The 23,246-nt window shown below is 64.6% G+C and overlaps 1 protein-coding gene across 25 annotated transcripts in view, besides 2 other annotated features; it reads left to right on the plus strand.

The window, feature by feature from the left end:
* Positions 2,130-2,499: a silencer, noted in NCBI's record as "silent region_3055". NCBI's record gives its function as "represses an Ori minimal core promoter by ATAC-STARR-seq in GM12878 lymphoblastoid cells {active_cell/tissue: GM12878}" and the evidence as "EXISTENCE:reporter gene assay evidence [ECO:0000049][PMID:35858748]".
* The window catches only part of BRSK2 (BR serine/threonine kinase 2), a 72,756-nt gene continuing 52,242 nt past the window's right edge, over positions 2,733-23,246 (plus strand). For 12 of the 25 annotated variants that reach the window (NR_046331.2, XM_017018533.2, NM_001440665.1 and 9 more), the window contains exon 1: positions 2,733-3,174. Coding sequence is in view for 11 of the 25 variants with exons in the window: in XM_017018533.2 (XP_016874022.1) it covers positions 3,084-3,174 (91 nt within the window). In the remaining 14 variants the exon portion in view is untranslated. Of the gene's footprint in view, positions 3,175-22,219; positions 22,431-22,545; positions 22,659-23,246 lie in introns of those variants that run through there. The other 13 variants (XM_017018532.2, XM_017018534.2, XM_017018537.2 and 10 more) reach the window with 2 other exon arrangements.
* Positions 12,904-13,104: a silencer, noted in NCBI's record as "peak1160 fragment used in MPRA reporter construct". NCBI's record gives its function as "represses an SCP1 promoter by STARR-seq MPRAs in K562 erythroleukemia cells {active_cell/tissue: K562}" and the evidence as "EXISTENCE:reporter gene assay evidence [ECO:0000049][PMID:32103011]".

The following is a 23,246-nucleotide window of genomic DNA, read 5'->3' on the forward strand; positions in this document are numbered from 1 at the left end:
TGTTTTGTTAAGGGATTTTTGTGTCTAGGCTCCTGAGTGGACTTTAATTTTCTTGTCATGTCCTTGCATGGTTTTGGCACCAGGGTGATGACAGTTTCACAGAGGAGCTGGGACATGGCCCGTCTTCCTCTGTGTCCTGGAAGTGTCTGTGTAGCGGGGTGCTTTTCCTCCATTAGTGTTTGGTGGGCTCCACTGGTGAGTCTTGGCCTGGACGTCTTTGTGAGACTGGGCCCTTTCCTAACTCCGGCAACAGACCTTCGTGCTCGAGAGCCCTGGCTCCTTTGGGGCTCCTGCTCCCACCTTACACGCGACAGAGGGGGACCGAGGGCTGTGGCATCACAGTCGTGGGCATCTACTGGCTGGCCACACCCTGGTACACCCTCTCCTGGGGCACCCCAGTACCAGGCCCGCTGGAAGGAAGGGCAGTCATCCTGTTGATCCCCACAAAGATGGCAGCAGGGAGGGCGCGGCGTGCTATGGAGAAGGCGTTGAGTCTGGGGTTTTGTGCAGCACCTTCAAGAGGGGACAGCAGGGCCAAGGGAGGCTGGGAGGGCGATTTGAGGATAGGCACTCAAGAGGCTGAAGGCTGACTAGCCTCTTGCGCCCGGAGGACAGGCAGGGAGCCAGAAGAGAGGCCCCAGACTGAGCCCCAGAGGCCACCAATGGCATAGGCTGCTCAGACACAGACAGGGAAGAAAAGGCCTCAGGGCTGCAGTGAGGGTTGGGAGAGGGATGCAGGCTGGCAAGGAGGTGGGAAGGAAGAAAGCAAGAATTTTGGCCACTGGAGTAGCCGGATGCAAACGGTCAATAGGGCAAAATGCTGCTGAGGATGTCACAAAGGTGCGTCTGACTCTGCTGCAGCCTGGGAGGCCAGGTGACCATGGCAGCAGAGAGAGGGCATCTCAGGTCAAGTGCCCCTGCCCTCTGGCTGTGGCCTGACGCCCTCTCCTGGTCTCCTGCACACCCTCGGCCTCTGTTGGCACCTGGACCAGACCACTCCCAGTCAGCCTCCAGCCAGACCTCACTGCTTGACAGTTTCTCCAGCTGGAGGTCCCAGTCTACATTCAGCTAAAAATGTCTGCTGTCCCCACTCACAGCAGCAGCAGCGGGGGAAAGGGGAGTGCCCTCTGCCTCTGTCCCATGCTCTCAGCCCCCCTCCCCTGCCCCCACTGGTGGGGCCCTGATTGCTCATGCTCAGAGGCCCCAGAATTGGGTAGGGAGGACCCTTAGTCCACAGCATTTGAAGGGAAGCAGGGCGGGCGGGTGCAGGCCGAGAGTGGACAGGTGCTTTGGGGCCCACTCCCCTCCCCAGCTGGAAATACAGACAGCCCAAAGAGCAGGAGGGCGCACTGGGAAGACCCCGCAGTTTCCTGAGCTCATACGGGCTTACCAGCGTGGGGAGCGGACCACGGTCAGCAGCAGTGTGTGGCAGAGCCCGCAGGGGAAACGTTGCCCGCAGACCATACACGGGCAAGATCTGGGACCCCCACTTCTGCAGCGTTCCGGGTCTCCCTCACCTCTCCCCTCCCACCACCTTCTGCAGCACGGGCTTAAGGAAATACCAGTGTTTTTCTGCAAAGAAACAGAGGGTCCGTCCAGGTCTGGCTGCCTCTTCGGCTGCCTGTGTTTAGACCTCCAAAGGCTGCTCCCGGCAACCCCTGCCCAGCTGCTCAACCTGAAAGAGGGGTCGGTAGCAAGGGCCGGGAGGCGCCAGGGCGCTGCGGCCGGATCCCAGGTGAGTTCCTTGACTCCGCGCCGCGCAGGTCACTGTGGCATAACTGGGAAAACCGCCGCTTCTCCCTCGGGAGCGGAGGCGGAGGGCCACGTCCTCCCTGGGGGTGCACAATCTCTGCTTGGACAACGCCCGCGTGCAGTAGCCCCACAGACTCCCATGCAGCCCCCCCGCCACGTGTGCCGCATCCGCGCCCTGCATGCAACACCCGCCCCCTCCAGCGCAGCATGCCCCTCGCTGGCGTGCAGCACCCCCCATGTGTGCAGCACCCCTGCCCCGAATACAGCACCTCTCCCCAGTACAGCACTCCCGCCCCGCATGCAACACTCGCCCCCCTCCAGGGCAGCATCCCCATCCCCCGCGCGTGCAGCACCCCCTCGAGGGGCGGGAAACTCTTTGGGACACCCGGGGTCACGCCCTGCAGGGTAAAACCCCCGTCCAGGGCAGCCATCTGCACCCCCTCGCCATGGGCCCACTGCCTGCTCCGTCCCGGGATGCGCCTTAATGGCGGGTCGGGCGGCAGCGGGAGCTCTGCTGCCTGGTGGGACCGGACGTGGCAGCCGGCGGGCTGGAGGCTCCCAGGTCCCGGCCTCGCCCTGGCCTCGCCTCGCCCCCTAGAGTCTCCCCGAGCGCTCGTAGCGGCGGGGCGGGGTGGGGAGGCGCTGATTGGCCGGCGCGGGCACCGCTTGCCGCCGCCACGGCATCCCGCTGCGTTCGTACAGGCTCGTGTCGACTCGGCTCCGTTGCGCGGCCCGGCTCGGCTCCCCTCAGCTGCGCTCGACTCCGCTGTTCGGCTCGGCTGTTCGGCTTGGCTACAGGGCTCGGCTGTTCGGCTTGGCTACATGGCTCGGCTGCGCGGCTCGGCTCTGTTCGGCTCGGCTCGGCTGCTGGGCTCGGCTGTTCGGCTCAGCTGCGCGGCTCGGCTCGTCTCGGCTCTGTTCGGCTCGGCTCGGCTGCTGGGCTCGGCTGTTCGGCTCAGCTGCACGGCTCGGCTCGGCTCGGCTCGGCTCGGCTGCGCGGCCGCTGACGGGCGTGCGCTGGGGGCGCGGGGCGCGGGGCGCGGGCCTCGGCGGCGGCGGCGGCGGCGGCGGCGGAAGCCAGGTGCCCCCGCCCGCCCTGTCCTCTCGACGAGGCGGAGGCGTCGCCGCGGGCCAGGCCTCGGACTGCCGCGTCGGAGTGGACGCGGGGGGCGGCGGCGCGGGCGGACGCGGGCGGCGCGAAGCAGCGGGGCCCGCGGGGGCGCCCCGGCCGGGTCGGCGCGGACGGCACTCGGCGGACGCGGGCGGACGCTGGGCGGCCCCTCCCTGCCCGCGCGCCCGGGCGCCCCTGGCCGGCGCCGGGCCCCAGAGCGATGACATCGACGGGGAAGGACGGCGGCGCGCAGCACGCGCAGTATGTTGGGCCCTACCGGCTGGAGAAGACGCTGGGCAAGGGGCAGACAGGTGCGTGCGGCCGGGGCGGGGACCGGGGCCGGGGAGGCCGCGCTGGCAGCGCGCTGGGTGGGGGGCGCCCGAGGGAGGCCCCGGCCGCGAAGCCGCAGGCCCGGCCCGGGCCCCGGCCGCGAACAATGGGCGGCCCGTGCGCCCCCGTCCGCTCGTGCGCCCCGGTTCCGCCGCGGATCCCGCAGGCCGCTTGGCTGCGGTCGGCCGGGCGCGGCCCAAGGACACGCGGCGCGGCGCGGGGCGCGCAGGCGGACAGGGGCGCACGGGACGGCGCCCCTCGGGCCCCGCTGCAGGTGCGCGGCCCGGGCCGCATTGTGCGCCCCAGCGACCGGGCCCATTGTGCCGCGGGAGGAGGGGGCCGCGCGGGCGCCCATCTGCCGTCTGCCGCGGCCGCGCTAATAGGCGTGCTGCCCGAGCAGCTGCGCCCCCGGCGGGACTCCCACCTCCGCGCGCCGGCCACCGGGGCCTCCGGGCAGGCCCGATCTCCCTCCGCGGTGGGGGCGGGAGAGTGCGGGGACCTGCAGAGGGCTGGACAGCGCCTTGCGCTGCTCCGGCTCGGGCTCGGGCGGGCGGAGCGTCTGTGACCTGCATTCCCACGGGGCAGGGAGAGGCCATTGGTGCTGGGACCAGAAGTGCGTGGGACCTGACCCGTGGAGCAGCCCCGCGGCCTGCCGGTGGAGGGGGCTTCCCGGTGGGGCCTGGCTGTCATTCTAGGGAACAGGCCGGGTCCCTGCGGGGCCGAACCCAGGCCAGAGGCAACCCAGCTACCCTCGCATGTGGCCAACTCTCCCCGGCCCGCTGGGTTTGGCTAGCCCTTCATCTGGTCAGGCACATTCACAGAGTCGCCTTTGTGGAGGCTGGGGCTCAGCCATTTTCTTTCTTCTCTCAGGACCGGCCTGTCTCTTGGTGTCCCCGAGGTCCCACGGCACTGCCTCTCCCTTCCAATCCGAGAAGTTCCTTAGACCCGGGCGGGCAGGGGTGGAGGGAAGGAGGAGGAGAGCGCTGGTGCAGGGTGGAGGCTCAGCCCCTCACGGCTGCACAGAGGAGGAGCTGGGAGGTGGCGTTGGGGAAAGAAAGTGGGCCAGGCCCAGGCTCTTGGGGGAGGGCCGTGGCTGTGATGTAACTACGGCAGAGCTGCAGGAAGGGGTTTAGACTGAGGGGTTCAGGGGAGCTGCCTCACCTTGGGTGCACAGCCTTCCGCCACCCGCCACGGCACGGAAGGGCCCCTGGCCACAGGGCAGGACCTGGGCAGGTGGGGTGGTGCAGCCTGGGTTGGAGAAGGAGGTGGCATTCAGCCCATGTCACCTGAGTTCAAAATTCTCGTCTTTCCCGGAAAGAAAAACTAGTGTGTGAAATCCGTGGTGAAGGAGGGGCCCAGGGCAGCAGGATGCAGGAGTCAGTGAGATAATCCAATTACGGTCCCAATAAAATGTTATTATAAGGAAACATCTGCGTGTAAATGAAGACACGATGAGTTATGTGCTGTGCGCGGCCTCGGTGGGTAGGGGCTGGTCTCCACTCTTCATGGCATTCTGCTGGCGGCAGTTAATTACGGGAGGTTTCCACTGTAATTAACAGTAATGAATACAAAAGGATGGGCTGTGTGTGTCTACAACGTGCTGAGAGAGATATTTAGAAAACAGCTCGAGGGGGGGCACAAAGCGGCCCCTCTCTCCCGAGTTATGACGGGCAGAGCGCAAGCGTGTCACCGGGAGGGCCCTGGAGAAGGCCACCATTTCTGTGCGTCTTCTGTTGCTGCTGCTGAAGGGTCACCAGGAGTTGGGTGGACATGGGGCCTGGAGTGTGTGTGCTGGGCCACTTGGCACCAGATGCCAGGAGAGCTGCCAGGTCCCAAGCTCAAGAGGGAGATAGGCTTCCTGCCAGGAGACCTCCGTGGGAGAACGGGAGGCTGGGCTTCTGGCCGCCACCACCCGAGGACGATCTGATCCTGCCGTTGAGAACGCTTCTCCTTCCAGGGACCTGGCCACAGGGGAGCTGTGGAGGCCTTGCTTGGGGGGCCATTGGTGTGGACGCGACTCCAGCCCCTTCCCCGTGTCTGTGGCTGGCAGCTTTGTTTGGCCCTCTCTGTTCATCTCTCTCAGCCTGAGACCTTGGAAGGAGGAGCTGCTCGACTTGAGGTGGCCACTGAGAGGGAGGTGGTCAGTGGCAGTGGCAGTGAGCCTTGTGGTGCCACGAGAGCCCTTCCACCCGGCTGACCCAAGCTGGGGCCTGCTGGACGGTGGGCCAAAGATGTGGTCCGAAACCTGCCCTTGGGGAGTCTGGCCGTGTGGGGAGGGGAGACCACGCAGCACCCCCACCGGGGCCTGGAGGACGCCCTTCTAGACGCCGCAGGGTCCGGTCGGCTGTCTTCTTCTGCCTTTCAGCGTGAGCGCTGCATGGTCTCACCTGTACGGCACCTCCCTGTCTTGTTGGGTCTGTGCGTCCTGCAGGGCCAGTGTGGCTGTAGGGTCGTCCTTCTGCATGGGGCGTCCTCTGCACAGCTCCCCTCGGTGGCTGTGGGGGTTGCCTTCAGTGGTCTCACTGCCGGTGCCAGGCACCAGGTGAAGCCGTCAGAGCACTGAGCATCTGTGGAAGCCTCCTCGCCGGCTGCTTGGTGGTTTCTGGCCAAGACTTAGGGGGATGTAGGCTGGGGTTGGGGTGGGAACCCACCTGCAAAGGTGCTGCCTTAGCTTTTCTTGGGGCTGAGAAAGGCTTGTGTAGCCTCATCTGAGCTTGACCCCTGCAGAGATGCCGAGACACAGTCCCTGCCAGCAAGGGCAACCATGGAGGTTGGAGGGCGCAGACACTCCGAGTTGGAGCATGCAGGTCCAGGAGGGTGTGTGGCACGGGCTGGGTGGCTTTTGTCCCTGCGCGCCTTTGTCCCTGTGCCCCATCAGTACGTGGAGCAGGGCACCTTCTTGCCCAAACCTCGGCTTAGCTCCTGAAATCTGGGAGGCCTGGGAGGGCCCTGTGGGAGGAGCTGGAGAACCTCGGGCCCTTGGAGCTGTTCTTGGGGGCAGGCGGGTGGGCTGCATGGGACGATGAGGGGCCTGCCTTCGGGAATCCTCTGTCTGGGGGGCGGGAGAAAGGAATAATGGCCGCGATAGGGCTCCCTGCGAGGGAACGAAGGAGCTAGGATGAGGGGCTGCCCTGCAGCTCACCTGGCAGTGTTCACCTGCTGTGGCGTGGGGGAGGGACCTAGGCTGCCAGGGACCTGGGGCCGCCCCTCCATGTTCTCAATGGCCTTTAGGAAGGTTGAGCCCTGGTGGCTGCCAGGGTGGAGAGGGGTCCTGGGATGGGAGGAGTCATTGAAGATGGAACAGGTGAGGGGAGGGAGAGCCTGTGCCTGGGAGACCCTGGGGGTGACCCCAGGCCCAGAAGCTGGAGGCAGATGTGGAGGGGAAGGAAGCTGGTCTGAGATGGGGTCTGTTTAGAAAGTTGAGCAGGACGGGCAGCGATGGGCTGTGGTGTGCAGGTCCCTGGAGATGGGCCATGGAGATGGGTCCTGGAGATGGGTCCTGGAGATGGGCCCCTGGAGATGGGCCATGGAGATGGGTCCTGGAGATGGGTCCTGGAGATGGGTCCTGGAGATGGGTCCTGGAGATGGGCCATGGAGATGGGTCCCTGGAGATGGGCCCCTGGAGATGGGCCATGGAGATGGGTCCTGGAGATGGGTCCTGGAGATGGGTCCTGGAGATGGGCCATGGAGATGGGTCCCTGGAGATGGGCCATGGAGATGGGTCCTGGAGATGGGTCCTGGAGATGGGCCATGGAGATGGGCCATGGAGATGGGTCCTGGAGATGGGCCCCTGGAGATGGGCCATGGAGATGGGTCCTGGAGATGGGCCCCTGGAGATGGGCCATGGAGATGGGTCCTGGAGATGGGTCCTGGAGATGGGTCCTGGAGATGGGCCATGGAGATGGGCCCCTGGAGATGGGCCCCTGGAGATGGGCCATGGAGATGGGTCCTGGAGATGGGTCCTGGAGATGGGCCATGGAGATGGGCCATGGAGATGGGTCCTGGAGATGGGCCCCTGGAGATGGGCCATGGAGATGGGTCCTGGAGATGGGTCCTGGAGATGGGCCATGGAGATGGGTCCTGGAGATGGGCCATGGAGATGGGTCCTGGAGATGGGTCCTGGAGATGGGCCCCTGGAGATGGGCCATGGAGATGGGTCCTGGAGATGGGTCCTGGAGATGGGCCATGGAGATGGGTCCTGGAGATGGGCCATGGAGATGGGTCCTGGAGATGGGTCCTGGAGATGGGCCATGGAGATGGGTCCTGGAGATGGGCCCCTGGAGATGGGTCCTGGAGATGGGTCCTGGAGATGGGTCCCTGGAGATGGGCCATGGAGATGGGTCCTGGAGATGGGTCCTGGAGATGGGCCCCTGGAGATGGGCCATGGAGATGGGTCCTGGAGATGGGTCCTGGAGATGGGCCATGGAGATGGGTCCTGGAGATGGGTCCTGGAGATGGGCCCCTGGAGATGGGCCATGGAGATGGGTCCTGGAGATGGGTCCTGGAGATGGGCCATGGAGATGGGTCCTGGAGATGGGTCCTGGAGATGGGTCCTGGAGATGGGCCCCTGGAGATGGGCCATGGAGATGGGTCCTGGAGATGGGCCCCTGGAGATGGGCTGTGCAGGGCTGAGCCCGGAGAGCGCATGGGTAGACAGGACCCGGCAGCCTCCCCAGCCATGAAGGTGAAGGTGGACTCAGCGTGGGGTGTCTGCTGCGAGACCCCAGGAATTCTGTGGCCTTCCCCACATCAGGCCCTGGCCATCTGACCCCAGCTGTTTTGTCAGGGCAGCAGCAGCCTGGGGCTGGACTGAACCCCTCATCTGCCCTGCACGGGGTTTCTACAAGCTGAGGTCTCAGGACGCTGTTCTCAGGGGCGCCGTGCACAGAGCCCGGGGAGCCAGCATGGTGGGTAGCCCTCCCATCTGAAGTCTCCCTGGCCCCCTGAAGTCCCTGGAAAGGCCCATTTGGTGTCGCTGGGCGCCATGTCAGTGACTGCGCCAGGGTGGAGGCCTCAAGATGCTGCCCCTGGCGTCTTCCTGCCCTGCATGCCCTCCACAGGGAGCCCCCTTTCCAGCTGAGAGCTGGCCTTGAGTGTCCCTGTCAGGGCCCTTGGCACAGAGGTTCCGGGTGGTGAGGACGGCAGTTCCCCTAGGCGGGGGCGGGAGGGTCGTTGGAGGCGGGAGCCCTAGGCCCTTGTCCTGTCCCCACCCACTGTGGCCCTGGGCACCTCAGGTGTGTGTGTCCCTGTTGACGTGGGTCTCCCTGCCTTGTCACTGGCAATGGCTGGAAAAGACACGCTGGGCAGAGGGCACCGCCCGGCCCTGATCGTGCTGGCCGTGCTGGCCCTGCTCTGCTGAGGTGCGTGCACGCCGTGGATTTCCTGGATGTGGAAGCCTCAAGGCCAGGCTGTGCCCCCTCCCCCAGCTGTGCCAGGGAGGGCTTTCCAGAGTCACCGTGGCTGGCTGCTGCCCCGCCTGCTCCACCATCTGCCCGAGCAGGGAGTTGTGTCCAGAACCACTGGGGAATGCAGGGCCTGGGCTGTGATGTGAGGTTGGCCTCTAGGCTTCAAGGGGATCTGTTTCTGGCAAATCTCACGCAGGCCCAGCTGGAGCTACTATCAAGGGCCGTGGCTCCTGCCCACGACCCAAGCTCCAGGGCCTCTGGGTCCCCACCATCGTTGGCTGCCGAGGTGGCCAGGTCCCTTCCTTGCTCTGAGGGTGGCTGGGAGTGTCTTAAGGTTGTCGCTGTGCCAGGTGTGTGTGGACCCCTGCGTCCCCCGCTCCTCGTCTCTCTTCCCTTCCACCCACGTCCCCCACTCCTGGTCCCTCTTCCCTTCCACCCACGTCCCCCACTCCTGGTCCCTCTTCCCTTCCACCCACGTCCCCCACTCCTGGTCCCTCTTCCCTTACAGCCGCCTCGAGGACTGCATGGGGCCAGCAAGGCCTGTACCCCAGGACACCAGAGTTGCTCGGACCGGCTCCCGGACCTGGGCCTAAGCGAGCTCTCCTGGTTCTCACTCCCGAGTCTGCGGAGTGACCCCGGGCCCTCTCATCATGGCCTCACCCTGCTCCGGCGCTCTGGGTGCTTTGAAGCAGACAGGAGACCCCCTCCAGGCTGGCCCGAGGGCAGGTCAGACCCCAGTCCCTGGGAACAGCCTGAGTGGGCTGTGCCTCCCCGTCGGCCACTGGCGCTCAGGAGGAGCCGTCGGGAAGGCCCCTTTGCCATCACCTGGTGGCGCTTGCTTGAGGGCTTCTGTGCCTTCCAGTCCTCACTGGGCACAGACTAGCTTCTTTGGGCACCTGGGGAGGGTCAGGCTGTCTCTGAAGTCAGCAGCCCTGCTGGGCAGCCGGCACCAGGAGAGGAGGCGGGCTGGTCCCCGTGACTGCCGGCCGCCGGCATCCACCTATGTGGGGCTGTGCCTAGATGGTGGCACTGTGGGGCATCACTGTGCAGTTCTGGGCCCTGCCCTCAGCTCTGGACAGCCCACCTGGACCCTGGCCCCTCGGAAGTGGAAGGACTGGGACCTCAGGGCCCCTGAGTGTAGAATGGGGTTTCCCTGAAGCTTGTGCGAGGTTCCAATGGCTGGAAACACCGTACCGCGCAGGAGGACGGCAGACCAGCATCTGTCAGGCCCCTTGGGGCTCACATGGCTGGTCCTCTGTGCTGCCCTGTGCTCTGCAGGAAGTTAACGGCACCCTGCCACCTCCTCTGTGCAGGGCAGCCCCGCTTTCACCTGTAGGGCTGGTGCCTGTGTCAGGCCCAAGCCCCAGGTCCTAGCCTAGGCTGACCAAGCGGCCTGCAGATCTCCCTGAGGCCTCACCCCAGGGATGTCCGCCGGGCCAGGCTGCCCTGAGCCAGCTGCCTGGGGCTCTGGACAAGATGGAGGCTGGGCTGGGGCAGAGGCTGCAGGGACAAAGCACGGATTGTGCCAAGCCGGCTGCCTTTCAGGGCCCGGCCTGCCAGGTCCAGGCCTTGTTCTACCGCCTCTGAGGGGCCAGTGTTCTGGGCCCAGCAGCTGGGAGCCAGGCCCCACCCACAGAGCAGTGCTCCCGAAAGTCCTGCTGTTAAAGAGAAACTCCTCGTTTTCCTGGACGCCTCCAGCTTCCCAGGCTCGTTCTGCCTTCAGTCCCGGGGCCCACGGAGGCCGTGGCTGCCCTACGCTGCTTTGCCCCAGGGGCCTGGGCTGCAGGCTGGGCCTGGCTTCCTCCCCGAACCCTGGAGAGTGACAGCACCACCCCCAGTGGATGGCAAGGTCCCATCGGTTGGCATGTGTCTCTCTGGGCACCATGCTCCTCGTTGGGTGCCACGTCCTTGGGCTGAGCTTGGGTCCTGTCTGCCCTGGGGGTACCATCCTATGAGGACAGAGCTGCCTTTCCTGGGTGGCCATGGCAGCCTCATGGCACTGGCTGAGGGGAATGGACACTTCTGGGATGGAGCTGGGCTGGGGTGGGGCTGGGTAGGGCCAGTGGGAGTTCTGGGCACCTTGGCCTGAGGGGGATGGGGGTGCCCAGGGCATTCACGCCATCACTGCCCACTTGGCTTAAGCTGGAGCCCAGGGCCCTGGAGGGCAGGCTGGCCTTCCCGGCCCCGGGCAGAGGTGGGAGGGCGCCTGGACGGCTGCCTGCATGATCCCCGTGATACAGCGGGGATGGCTGCAAGTCGGGCTGAGTCCAGCTGTGGGTGGTTTGCGGGGGCACAGGGAGCCTGCCTGGCCAGGAATGTCGCCTCTGCGGGTGTCTTGGCCTGGGAGCCCCCGGGGAACCCTTTGTATGGGAGAAGGGGTCAGGATAGGGGCTGGGGGGCAGTGCCTAGTGGCCCTCCATGCTGAGGGAAAGCCCCTCTTCACAGCTAGCATCGGGCCTCGTGTCCTCGGCACCCTGAATCAGCTGCAGGGCTAGCTGCTGCCTGAGCTGCCTGGTTGGGGCTGGCCTGGGCCCCTGATTGGCTGCTTCCCTGGGCGGGGGTGACGTTGCTGCCCTGGGTCCGAGAGTTATCTTGTGCGGACAGAGGTAATAGGTGTGGTACCCGCCCCGGGAAGGGTGGTGGCCAGGGTGGCCATGTCAGGCGCCTTGGCCCTGCCCCCTGGGGATACAGGGGGTGGAGAGGCAGCCCCAAAGCTGGGTTCTCAGAGACCTGGGGTGGCCAGATGGGGGCTCATTCAGCTGCCCCCTGTGCAGCCCCTTGGTGCCATTAACTTTCTGCAGAGCGCAGGGCAGCACAGAGGGCCAGCCAGGCCAGGGGGCCAGAGGTTCCCCTCCCACACAAGCTCCGAGGTGTCCAGACAGGAGGCGGTGGCCCCAGTCCGCATAGGCCTTTCCCCAGGGCAGCCCTTTCCCCAGGGTTAGGCTGCAGGCCCTGCCGGTGTGGCTTCAGGAGTCCTGGTCCCCGCACTCAAGCTTCCCTCCTGCTCATCTGTGATGGGGCCTGGGTGTACCCAGGTCCTTGGTAGGCGCCAGGAGATGTGTGGGGCCCCCTGGAGCCTGGAGCCCCCCCAGCCCCTCCGCTTATCTTTGGTGTCTGGGGCGGAGACTGGCCCTTGGCACCCGCGGCCGTCCCTGGCTTTCGTCCTGCGCCGTCCTGGGTCTTTGGGTCCCTCTGCCAGCCCCGTGGTGACTTCTTGCACACAGGGTTTGCAGGGGGGCTGCGGAATGACTCCGTCCCTTCCACAGCACACGGGCACCTCCAGCCAGGAAGGAGCTGGGCAGGCAGCCCCGCCCCAGGCCAGAGCCACAGAGCCGTTGTGACTGGGGGTCTCTGGCCAGGACGTTCCTGTGCTGTCTGTTGTGGGCAGGCCCCCCAGGGCAGGGCCACCTCCAGGGTACTTGGTTCCAGACGCTGGCTGAGTGGTCACTTGTGTCCACACCGCAGTTTCCCTATCTGTGAAGTGGCTTGGATAGGATGGTGGGGTGGTGCCAGGGGGTTGCTCTTGCTGGGACTGAGCCCAGGGCCTGGCCCTGCCACTGGGGCCAGCGTCAGCCTCAGGACAGCCGAGGAGGGGAGATGGCTTGTGGGCCAGGATGCCCGAGGGTGGGGAGAAGCAGCTCAGATGGCGTCACTGTGTTGCCTTCCCCCAGCCGATGGGATTTTTGTGGAGCTCTCTCTGCTGGGGACAATGAGAGGGGAGCCGTGAGCCGTGATAGGGATTGTGGCAAGGCCGGGCTGGTCAGCTGGGGATGCCAGGGCCGCACAGTCCCTCGGGGCTCAAACTGGCAGCTGTCCCCCCAGGGCTCTGGGCTGGTGAGGAGCTTGTCCTGCCCGTCCCTCTGCTGCCACAGTAACCCCGGACACATCCCATGTCATCTGCTGTGGCCCTGCCTTCTGCCGGGTGGACATGGGGGATTTGGGGTACAGGGAAGCAGTGAGTTCTGGGCCGACCAAATTCCCCGGTGCCGTCGGGCCCAGCCTCCTTCTTCCTTGGCACCCTGGGGTGTGTCGTGGCTGAACCCCAGCTCTGTGGTTCCCGAGGCTTTTCTGGGATGGAGGCCTCGCTCCGGGTCCTGGTGTTTTCACATAGCAGAGGAGAGTGCCCCAAGCCTGGCGAGCACCGCCTGTAGCCGCCAGCAACACCCCCCACCTCCGTTACGCAGGAATAGTCCCAGCCACCATTTATTGTAAACATTTGGTCTGCACATATAACAGAGAAACTCTTGAAAACCAAAGGGCCGTTATCACCCTGAGAAATTAGCACTGATTTCTAGAAACTGGCAGGAAGCCAGTCGGATGCTGGGATTTTAACTTTAAAAGAACATTTCCCAGGCCTGGGCCTCCGCCGCCAGCCCAGTCTCCCTGCAGGAGGGAGTGGGCAGGCGCTGGGCTCTGCGTGGGGCCGTGGACTCAGTCTCCCGCCCCCTCCATGGCTGGGAGCTGTTCCCAGGGGCCCTAAGCCTCAGCTTTCCCCGGAGGCCCGGGCATGGGGTGGGCCTGGGCTCTGCATCTCTCAGAAGTTTCCAGGTGATGCTGACGCTGGTTGGGGGACCCCACTTGGAGAGCTGGGGTGGCGGTGGCCTCCTCTTCCATAACCCCTGACCCTGGGCGGTGGCCTCCTCTTCCATAACCCCTGACCCTGGGCAGTGACCACCTCTTCCATAATCCCTGACCCTGTATAGCGGCCGTGGGTACTGTCTTCCACCCGTCCACATCCTTCCTGGGCACCGAACACTGCCAGCACCAAGCCAGGCACGGGGCCAGCAAAATGCCCTGCCCGCCTGGGGACACACATGCTGGAACGTTCACTGTGTGTCACACACGTGCAGGTGGTCTCGGGGGGCAGATGCCACATGGGAGGAATGGGCCCCTGTCAGCTGTGTTCTCCATTGTGGTCGGGGGTGGGGGCAGGTAGTGGAGGACCTGCCGGCTCTGCCTGGGCCCTGCGGCCACCCACCCCGGACACTGTGGCACTGGGAGGGGTGCAGATGAGGAGCCGGTCCAGGGCTAGGGCCCTTCCTGTCTAGCCATGGCCCTCCCCAGGCTCCTCGTGGTGCTGGGACCCTGTGGCGTCTGCTCCTCTGGCCCAGTGGCTGCCGGCGGCGGGGCCGTGTGACCCTCCTTCCTTCCATCCCTGCTGGTGCATGCCCAGCTCCCAGCCTGGCCTCAATGCGGGGCATGAGGGCTCATTTCATTCAGGCCACATGAGTGTCAGGACAGCCACCGTTGGGCATCAGGGAGGACCAGCAGACAGAATAGTGGTGGAGCCGGTCACAGAGCTGCACGGGGCAGGGTGGAGCCGGTCACAGAGCTGCATGGGGCAGGGGACGCCCTGCCCACTCCGCAGGCCTCTAGGCTCCCGTCTTCACAGAGTTCTCCTGCTGAGGCACCTGGCCTGTGTCCTCAGCACATGCCCCCGGCATCACACCTCACCCGTGAGCAACTGATGCACGGCTACCCTCGCGGGTCTGTATTTTGGGATTTCCTGCCAGTGTCTGTGAGTCGGGGCTCACGCCCGGGGTGCGGGTGCCCTCCTGGAAGTGTCTGTGTCTCATAGTGAGTCTGTCTGCCTGGGATTGTCACAACCTGGAAGAATAGGTCGCTCTTCCAGTCCCCCACCTTCCTGCACGGTCCAGGGTCGCTCAGGAGCCCCTGGGACCAGGGCCAGCATACCCCGGAGTATGTTCCTGGAGCCAGGGAACATCACTCCTGGGCCAGCAGCCCCACCTCCTGCAGGCTGCACTGAGCCCCTTCGGGCCCATGCCAACCGCCGGTGCAGCCTCTGCCCGTCCTCTCTGGTCTCCAGGGAAGGCGGCAGCAGCCGTGGGTGGTATGGAAGCCCCTGCTCTGCTGCGTCGTGCCAGAGCGGACTGTGGGGACACAGCAGGGAGTTTGCCGACTTTGAGGAGGAGGAAAGGACCTTATGCCCTGTTCGGGAGGCGGAGAGGCCCTCAGGGAGCTGTCCAGCACCAGCCGTGCTGAAGTCTGCAGCTTCCTCCTCCCGCGAGGGCGCCTGCCTTGGCGCTGGGTCCTCACAGCCCAGCTGCAGCTGGAAAGAAGCTATGTGAGGGCCGGTGATTTTTGGCAAGATCCCAAACCTGTCGTCAGCTGTGGGTCTCTGGTTCCGTGCTGAGGAGGGGCAGGAGGAAACCAGATGTGTTCGGTGCCTCCTGCTGGCCAGTCCCCCAGCCCTGGGCCCTGAGCAGACCCACAGGACCCACCCCTCGTGCCCCGCCAGGGCCTCTCTGTCTTTAACTTACAGGGGAGAGGGAGGGCCAGGGCCCCGCAGAGCTGAGGGTGCCCCTGCGTGTGGGTGCCGGAGAGCAGGCATGGAGCAGCCTGGGGAAGGCTGGGGGGCCTGACCTTGCGCTCTCCAGAGGCGGTGGGTGTCGGGGCTCCCCGGGGCGGGGCAGGCACAGCAGGCTGTGGTGGGGTCTGATCCATGTCCCCTGGAGCGCACTCCTGGGAGCCCTTTGTGACAGACTCCTCCAAGTCACCTTGTTTCAGGGCTCATGTGGCCTAAGGGTAGGTTAGTTGCAGGAGTTTGAGAAGGTGGCCTTGGGGGTGGATGGTCATGGGCAGAGGAGCTACTGCCGCAAACTCAGCTCCAAGCTGCCTCCACCTGAACCTTGTCCGTGCCTGAGCCCCGCCTCCGGGGAGGAGCATTGCAAAGGGTGGGTGGTGCTGCGTGTAACCCTCTGGCTGCCCCACCCTTCTCCAGGGACTTGCCCCTCAGGCCAGCCCAGCCAGCCCTCCTGACTCCTCCTGGGGGGTGAGGGGCAGCGTCTCCCTGGAGCTCCCCACACACAGGAGAGGGTTCTCTAGGGCCTCATCTGATCCTGCCTGGGCACTGGCAGAGGGCCAGGACTCAGGAGGCCAGGACAGAAAAGGCCACTGAGGCCCACAGCCCCTCACTCAGGGACACAGGGTCTCCTGCCAAAGGCAGAGGGAGTGGAGTGGGGGCAGCTGACACACGGGGAGGGAACAGGCCCCCAGCAGAGGAGGCGGGAGCGGCGCTGAGCTCGGCAGAGTGAGGGGCTGTGACTGCCTCTGAGGAGATGGAGGGCTCGGATCTGCTTGGAGGTTTGTTGACCCTAAACCCCAAATCCCCGGGGATTTGTGACTCATCGTAAAGTGCACAGATGAGCGCCCTCTCCAGCAAAAGCCAGAGCCGCCGAGGGCGTTTGCAGATGGCGTGGGTGGGAGGACGGGCGGGACCCCCCGGGGCCACCACGGGGTAGGTGCCTGGCTGCAGGCCTCTGCCCGGCCTCTCACCCATGGGGTGTTGAGTTCCCCATTCCACAGCTCAACTGTGGGGTCAGCTGGCTTGGGGCCTTATCCTCGGGGGGTCTGTGTCACGCTACCCTTCCCCTGGGGCAGTGCCCTTGTCACTGCCTGCTGTGACCGGACTGGCCAGCCTTGTCTGCTGGAGGGAACGTGGCAGTTGTCCCCCAGCCCAGGATGGAGGCTGCTGTGCGTGGCAGAGCACGTGAGGCAGCCACCCCTCACCGCAGGCCACAGCGTCACTGGCTCACCGGTCACTGTGGGGTCCTCCCCACCAGGGCTACCCTGCTGGTGCCCCTGCTGGTGCTGGGGTTGGAGCTGAAGGCTGCTCTTGGGCCTGGGGGCCCTGCGCTCCTGGTCTCAGCCCCCTCTCTGCTCCTTCCACTCAGGAGGCCACGAAACCCGCAGGCTCATGGGATGGGCAGGGGCTGCGGAGGAGGGGCCCAGGCGGTTGGAGCTGGCTGTTTGGTGTGAAAGGGGGATAACTGATACCCCACCTCTGACGGTGTGTCCTGAGCTCCCATCACCCCAGTTCAGTGGTGTCTGACAGCCCCCTTAGGTCCCTCACCTGCTGGTGACAGTCCTGTTGTGGCACCTGGTGCACTGATGGTCGCCTGTGGACCCCCATGCTGGTGAGACAGAAGTGGGCTCTGTTCTGGGCTCTGTGGCTCCTGGTGGCGTTGGATAAACCAAGCCCCCACAGGGCCTGTGCAGAGAGTGACCTGGAAGTGTCCTGGCTTCTCTGGGGGAAACACGTTGAGCGCTTCCCCACGTGGGGAGGCGGCCGGGCTCCAGGCCCCACTGCCCAACTTGGGACGGTGGCATCACGGGAGTTGGGATGGGAGGCGGGCGGTGGGCCTGGTCAGATGGGGCGAATGGGGTGAGCCTGGCCTGGAGTTGTACCCAAGCCCCTGCCCCTCTCCTGGGCTTCGCTCTTTGACCAGTGAAGTGTGAGCAGAGTTCACATCTGTCTGGGTGAAAGCTTCCAGAGCCAGCACCCTCTCCACTGTCCCACAGAAGCTGGTGTGGGCACACAGCACCTCCAGCCTGGCCCTGGGAGGTTGGAGACTCAGCCCTGCGGCCACCCTTTGATTGCTGCCTGCCCCAGCTGCCCGCAATCTGGGTGCGCGGAGCTGTGTCCCTGCCCAGGGCCTCACTCCTCTGTGTTCCCCTCCTGTCTCTGGGCCCCGTGTCCTTGATGCTGCCCCTTTTCCTGACCCTGCTCTCCTATCACGTCCCCTCTTCAGGGGAGTGGCCACGGGAGGAGGCCATCGTCCCAGCCAGCCCTCCGCCTGCCTCAGCCTCCCAGGACAGACGTCCCTTTGGCCGAGAGTTGCACCTGCCTCTGATCCTTGCCCTTGCTCTGTCTTCCCCTCCGTCCCTGTCCCAGCACCCAGAGGAGGTTGGGGTGGGGAAAGGTCCTCGGGGGAGACCATCTGCACGGCCCCTCCCTGGATGCCACAGAGCACCAGCCTTGGGAGGGCAGAGGGGGCGCCCCGGAGGTGGATGCCCTGCCCTGGTTCCTGATGTGGCCCCTGCCTCTAAGACCACAAGGCACTCAGGGACAGATGCTAACGTTTGGGAGGGTAGGAGCAACGGGCGTGGGCTTGCAGCCCCTGCCTCTCCCCTCTCTGCCCTTCCCGCAAGCCGCCCGCTACCCACTGCCCACTAAGCAGCTCTATTCTTACCGCGCCCTGGAGATTACTGCTGCGACGGCTCCTCTGGGACAGGCAGGCTCGCCGGGCTGGGGGCAGGGCTCAGCACTCCCGCTCTGTGGGAGGGTGGCCGCAGGGCCCTGCGTGGAGTCCCTCCCCAGCCCTCGCTGCCCCTGTGTCCTGACACAAGGCCCCCAAGGTGTGGCAGGCAGGCGGGCGTGCAGGCCTCTGTCTCTGGTGGTCTAGGGGGTGGGGGTGGCTCTCTGAGGGGTGTGGGCCTCCATCTCTGGTGGTCTAGGGGGTTGTAGGGGGGCTCTCTGAGGGGCCTGAGCAGCCTCCAGCCCCTCCCCAGGGAGGTCAGTCACCCTGGGAGGGGGTTGGGAGCGGCCCGGGCCAGGCTGCCTCATCCACAGCCCTGGGCCAGTCAGTGGGGCAGGGAATGTGGACACTGCCCTCCTAGCCCTCTGCCTGGGATCCTCTACGTCTCCCCACTTGGGACAGGAGCTGACGTTGCTCCTGGAGCCCTGCGTGCCAGCTGGGGTGGGAGGTGTGTGCGTCTGTGTATGTGTGTGTGGTGTGTCTGCATATGCAGGTGTGTGTGTGCGTGCCCACCTGTGTGTGCAGGTGCCAGCCTTGCCCAGCCTTCCCCCTGTGGCTCGTGAAGCTCAGGATGGCTGGGGGAGCTGGTGGCAGCCCCACTGCATGATAGTTGAGAAGTTGGGATCCTAGGGCTTGCCTGCAGCCAGCACCCCACAGTTACAGGCAGCGAGCTGCCAGCCCCAGCCCCTTCCTCTAGGAAAACATGCCCTGTCCTGCCCAGGGGTCTGGGATGGGGGACCGACCAGCGGCGCCAGCTACCCCCAAGGGCACAGGCTTGGCCGTTGACCTTTGCTCCCCAGCTTTGAGGACCCAGGGTTGAGCCAGGAAGATGGGGTGCGGAGCTCTTGGGCTCAGGGCAGCCTAAAGATTGTGCTCTGTGCCGAGGTGGGGAGGTCCGTCCTTTCCTGAGTGTGGCCCCAGCCAGCAGCCCGCATCTCCAGCGCTCGGTCCTTCCTGCCTACCTGCGTGGCAGTGACCCCATCCAGCCCCTGCTCCTTGGCCCCGCAGGCCCCACACCCCTTGCCGAGTGATTGGCCCAGCCCCAGGCGCCCCTTCTGTCCACGTCAGACGCTGGTCTGCACCTGTGCCATTCCATCCCCAGCCTTCCCAGACCCCCACAAGCCCCCACAGGCTCCTAAACCCACCCAAGATACGGAGACAGGAACCTCCCAACTCTGTCCCAGCTCCTCACACTGTTTGTTGCCCGCTCCCCTGCCGAGGTCAGGGTGTCCCTCGGCCAGCGGCTCCTCCTGCCCAGCCTTCCCCTCCTCCTGCCTGGCCTTCCTCTCCCTGCCCAGCCGCCAGAGGTCCCTTCTTAGGAGATAAACTGGGCCGGGCGCAGTGGCTCACGCCTGTAATCCCAGCACTTTGGGAGGCCAAGGCTGCCAAGGTCAGGAGATGGAGACCATCCTGGCTAACACGGTGAAACCCCATCTCTACTAAAAATACAAAACAAAACAAAAATTAGCCGGGCATGGTGGTGGGTGCCTGTAGTTCCAGCTACTGGGGAGGCTGAGGCGGGAGAATGGCATGAACCCGGGAGGCGGAGCTTGCAGTGAGCTGAGATCACGCCACTGCACTCCAGCCTGGGTGATAGAGCAAGACTCTGTCTCAATAAAAAGATAAACTGAGCCACACCTGGGCTGTCCCTGCCACTCAGGACCCCAGAGAGCTCAGCAAATTGCATGGGGGGCGAGCGGAGCTGGTATTTGGCAACACAGGAGGGCGGGGGCCCAAACCCCTGCAGAGGATGCCAGCAAGCCCCAGGCTCTCAGGATGGGCCACACGGAGCTGGCATGAGGAGGCCTGCAGAGGCCAGGACAGCTGTGTGTCCAGCACTCGGCCGCCTGCTGGCTGTGCTGCTGGAGGGTGCGGGGGTGGGCCTGTCGCTGGGCCACATCCCAGGGCCTGTGGTGGGGCTGGCAGGGTGTCAGCCTGCAGCTTGGAAAAGAGGAGCCCAGGCATCTGCTCCCTCCACGAGGTACACGCATGTGTGTGCATGTCCATGTGCAGGTTTGTGTGCGCCTGCATATCTGTGTGTCTGTGTGCGTGTGTGTGTGTGGTGCGTCTGCATGTGCAGGTGTGTGCGTGCGTGCCTGCCTGTGCGTGCAAACGTGTGTGCGCATGTGTGTGGTCTGTGCATCCTTGTCTGCCTGCACCTAGGATGACAGGCGGAGGCTCCTAGGGTTTCCCAGGGAAGGGGGTCCCAACGTCACCACAGCGACTTGGTAGCCATTCCCTGGGCTGCCGAGGGTGGGGCCTGGCAGGTGCAGAGCGGAGGGAGCTGCAGGCCCTGGAGGAGGCTGCTGTGGTGGCTGTGGTGTCTGCGTGGGTCCCCCACATCTGATGTCTCCTTCCCACCCCTGCCCTCTCTGAGCTTGGTGTGGGTCACCGGCTCTGACTGGCTCCCGCTGGCCACCTCTGCTGTGTCCACGACAGCCCCACTGCCTGCAGAGGGCCCTGCTGCCCCCTATGCCCTCTGGCAACACCGTGGTGTCCCCACAGGAAGTAGGTTCCTGGCCCCACAGAGTCCACTTGGGGGGCTTCTCACATCGGACCCTTGGCCACAGTGCCACCCGTCTTCCTGCACGGGCCTCCCCTCCGAGGCCCTTGTTCCTGCCGCCTGCCCTGCATGACCTTCAAGGAAATTGCTGACCCCCAGGAGACCCCTTCCTTCATGGGGTGCCTCAGACCCCACCTCTGCAGGGGTTCTAGCAGCCTGGTTCTAGCAGCTCTGCAGGGGTTCTAGACCCTCTAGGGGCCTCGACGCAGCCCCTAAACTAGGACACTAGCTTCAGAGACTGAATCACCAAATAGTTACAGGATTCAATCAAAATGTTTCATCGGGCTAATCTTTCAATATTGAATTGTGAAAACCAGTTAATAGAAGTCTAACGTGATCAACTGGCTCCGCTGGGATTGGGTCCCGCCGCCTCCAGGCAGGTGCCACCTCCAGGAGGGCTTTCCCAGAGTGTGGGGCGGGCCCGGCAGGGAGGGGCTGTTTGCTGCTCCATTTGCCCAGTGTGCCCTCAGATCCACAGCCTCAGGGCACCTGTGCCCTCCAGGGAAGGCCGCCTGGGTCTCCTGCCCACCCTGGAGCTGAGCCCACCTGCCCTGCAGCTAGAGGGGGCAGGGGCTGCCTGGGCACCTCCTCCATCACCTCCTGGTGGAGGGGTTCCTGGTCCCAGGTCCTTCCACTCCAGAATCCACCTTTGAGCCCCATACTCTCTGCAGCCCATCCTCTGGCCTCCCTGGGGCAAACTGTGAGGCTTATGGCGTGGGGAGCACAGGCGGGCCTGGCCTCGGGCCCCAGCCTCCCTCCGCCTGTTCCTAGAGCCCACAGTTCCACTGCTGGAGCTTTCTCTTGGCCACCTGACCAGTTCCCCTCCCTGTGTCCAGCAGTCCTCTGCAGTCCCACACTCATGCCCCAGGAATCCATCCAGCTCCTGCTGATCCTCTCATAGCCCCTGGCTTTGGGGAGGGTGGAGTCCAGGGTCCCAGGTCACCATCCACCTTAGAAGTCCAGCGTCCAGCCCCAGGGCAGCAGCCACGGGAGAACTGGGGAGAAGGCTGTATGGGGTGGGGGTCTTCACACAGCGGCCACCAGGCTGGGGGTATCCTGAGGTCAAAGCCTGTGCCACGTCCCCCCATCTTCCCAGGAGACACCTGAGTGCTATGGCCACTCCTTGTCAGGTCCAGGGCCTGGACCCTCAAGGACACCCCTGTGGCTGCCATCCTGACAGGCGGAATTCATCGCAGACCCTCAACCTGATGGCACAGGTCAGGGTTCACGTCGGAACCCTCCCCGCTGGTCCTTACTAGATCTGAGAGTGAGTCAGGTGGGGTGTGTGTGTGTGCACATCTGCCTGTGCAGGGGTATGTGTGTGCACGTCTGCCTGTGCAGGGGTGTGTGTGTGTGTTTGGCTGTGCAAGGGTGTGTGTTTGCCTGTGCTGGTGTGTGTGTGTGTGTGTGTGTGGCTGTGCTGGGGTGTGTGTGCATATCTGCCTGTACAGGGGTGTGTATGTCTGCCTTATGGAGGTTTATGTGTGTCTGCCTGTGCAAGGGTGTGTGTGTGTATGTATCTGTATACAGGTGTTTGCCTGTGCAGGTGTGTGTGTGTGTGTGTGTATGTCTGTGCAGGGGTGTGCATATGTGTCTGCCTATGCAGGGATGTATGTGTGTCTGCCTGTACAGGGATGTGTGTGTATGTGTGTGCCTGTGTAAGGGTGTGTGTACACACATCTGTGTGTGCCGTCTGACCCTGGAGGCATGGGCCTGGCTTTCCTCAGGGCCTGCATTTCCCTCTCTGTTTCTCTGCCCCGCCCCAGCCATCCCCTTCACCCCTTGCAGCCTGGAGCTGGGGGAGTCAGGGAGAGGCTGGGGCTGCAGACGGGGCAGCTGGCATCCTCATGCTCCCGTGCCCGCCTCTTCTCCCTGTGCTCAGTCGTGCTGCTTGGGCCGTGGGAGTGGAGCTCCTTCGCACAGGTGTTAGTCATCTGTGTTTCCTTAGCGATTTACCTGTCCTTGGCTCATTTAAAACAGTTGGAGTGTTGGTGGTTTTGTAACGAACTGGTCAGAGCACCTTCCGTGAGAAGGGCCTTTTCCCCCAGTTCACCGGGGCTCCCCTGCTCAGGGTGTGCCGGGGGCTTTGAGTCACTTCTGTGTCTCCTTGGAGGCTGTGTGGCGTCCGCGGAAGTTGGTGTCTGTGCGGTGTGGTTCTGTTTATGGGTGTTGTAGAGAAGGCGCCGTCCAGAGACAGAGCCACTGCTGAGGTGGGTGGGGGGTGTATGAAGGGCACAAGGACGCTTTGGGGGTGTCAGGTATGATGGCCCTCAGGTCATGGTTTCACACGCGTGTGCTTTAAATGCGTGCTGGCTGTCACGTGTCAGTCGTGCCTCCACAGAGCTTCAGGAACCACCGAGATGGGGAGCCTGCCGGAGACACAGGTTTTCTGAGCGCACCAGCGGCTCCAAAAGCAGAGGGAAGAGCCCTGCGTGCAGGTGGGGCGCTCATGGCGTCGGCCTCGCAGAGCGGTGACGGACACAGAGTCCGTGTTTGGGGGGGTTTGGGACGTCGGCCTCGCAGAGCGGTGACGGTCGCAGAGTCTGTGTTTTGGGGGGTTTGTGACGAGTCCGTGTTTGGGGGGGTTTGTGACGTCGGCCTCGCAGAGCGGTGACGGTCGCAGAGTCTGTGTTTTGGGGGGTTTGTGACGAGTCTGTGTTTGGGGGGGTTTGTGACGTCGGCCTCGCAGAGCGGTGACGGTCGCAGAGTCTGTGTTTTGGGGGGTTTGTGACGAGTTCGTGTTTGGGGGGGTTTGTGACGTCGGCCTCGCAGAGTGGTGACGGACACAGAGTCCGTGTTTGGGGGGGTTTGTGACGTCGGCCTCGCAGAGCGGTGACAGTTGCAGAGTCCGTGTTTGGGGGGGTTTGTGACGTCGGCCTCGCAGAGCGGTGACAGTTGCAGAGTCCGTGTTTGGGGGGGTTTGTGACGTCGGCCTCGCAGAGCGGTGACGGTCGCAGAGTCCGTGTTTGGGGGGGTTTGTGACGTCGGCCTCGCAGAGCGGTGACAGTTGCAGAGTCCGTGTTTGG

This window comes from Homo sapiens, chromosome 11 (genome assembly GCF_000001405.40).
Source record: "Homo sapiens chromosome 11, GRCh38.p14 Primary Assembly".
Classification (NCBI taxonomy): Eukaryota; Metazoa; Chordata; class Mammalia; order Primates; family Hominidae; genus Homo; species Homo sapiens.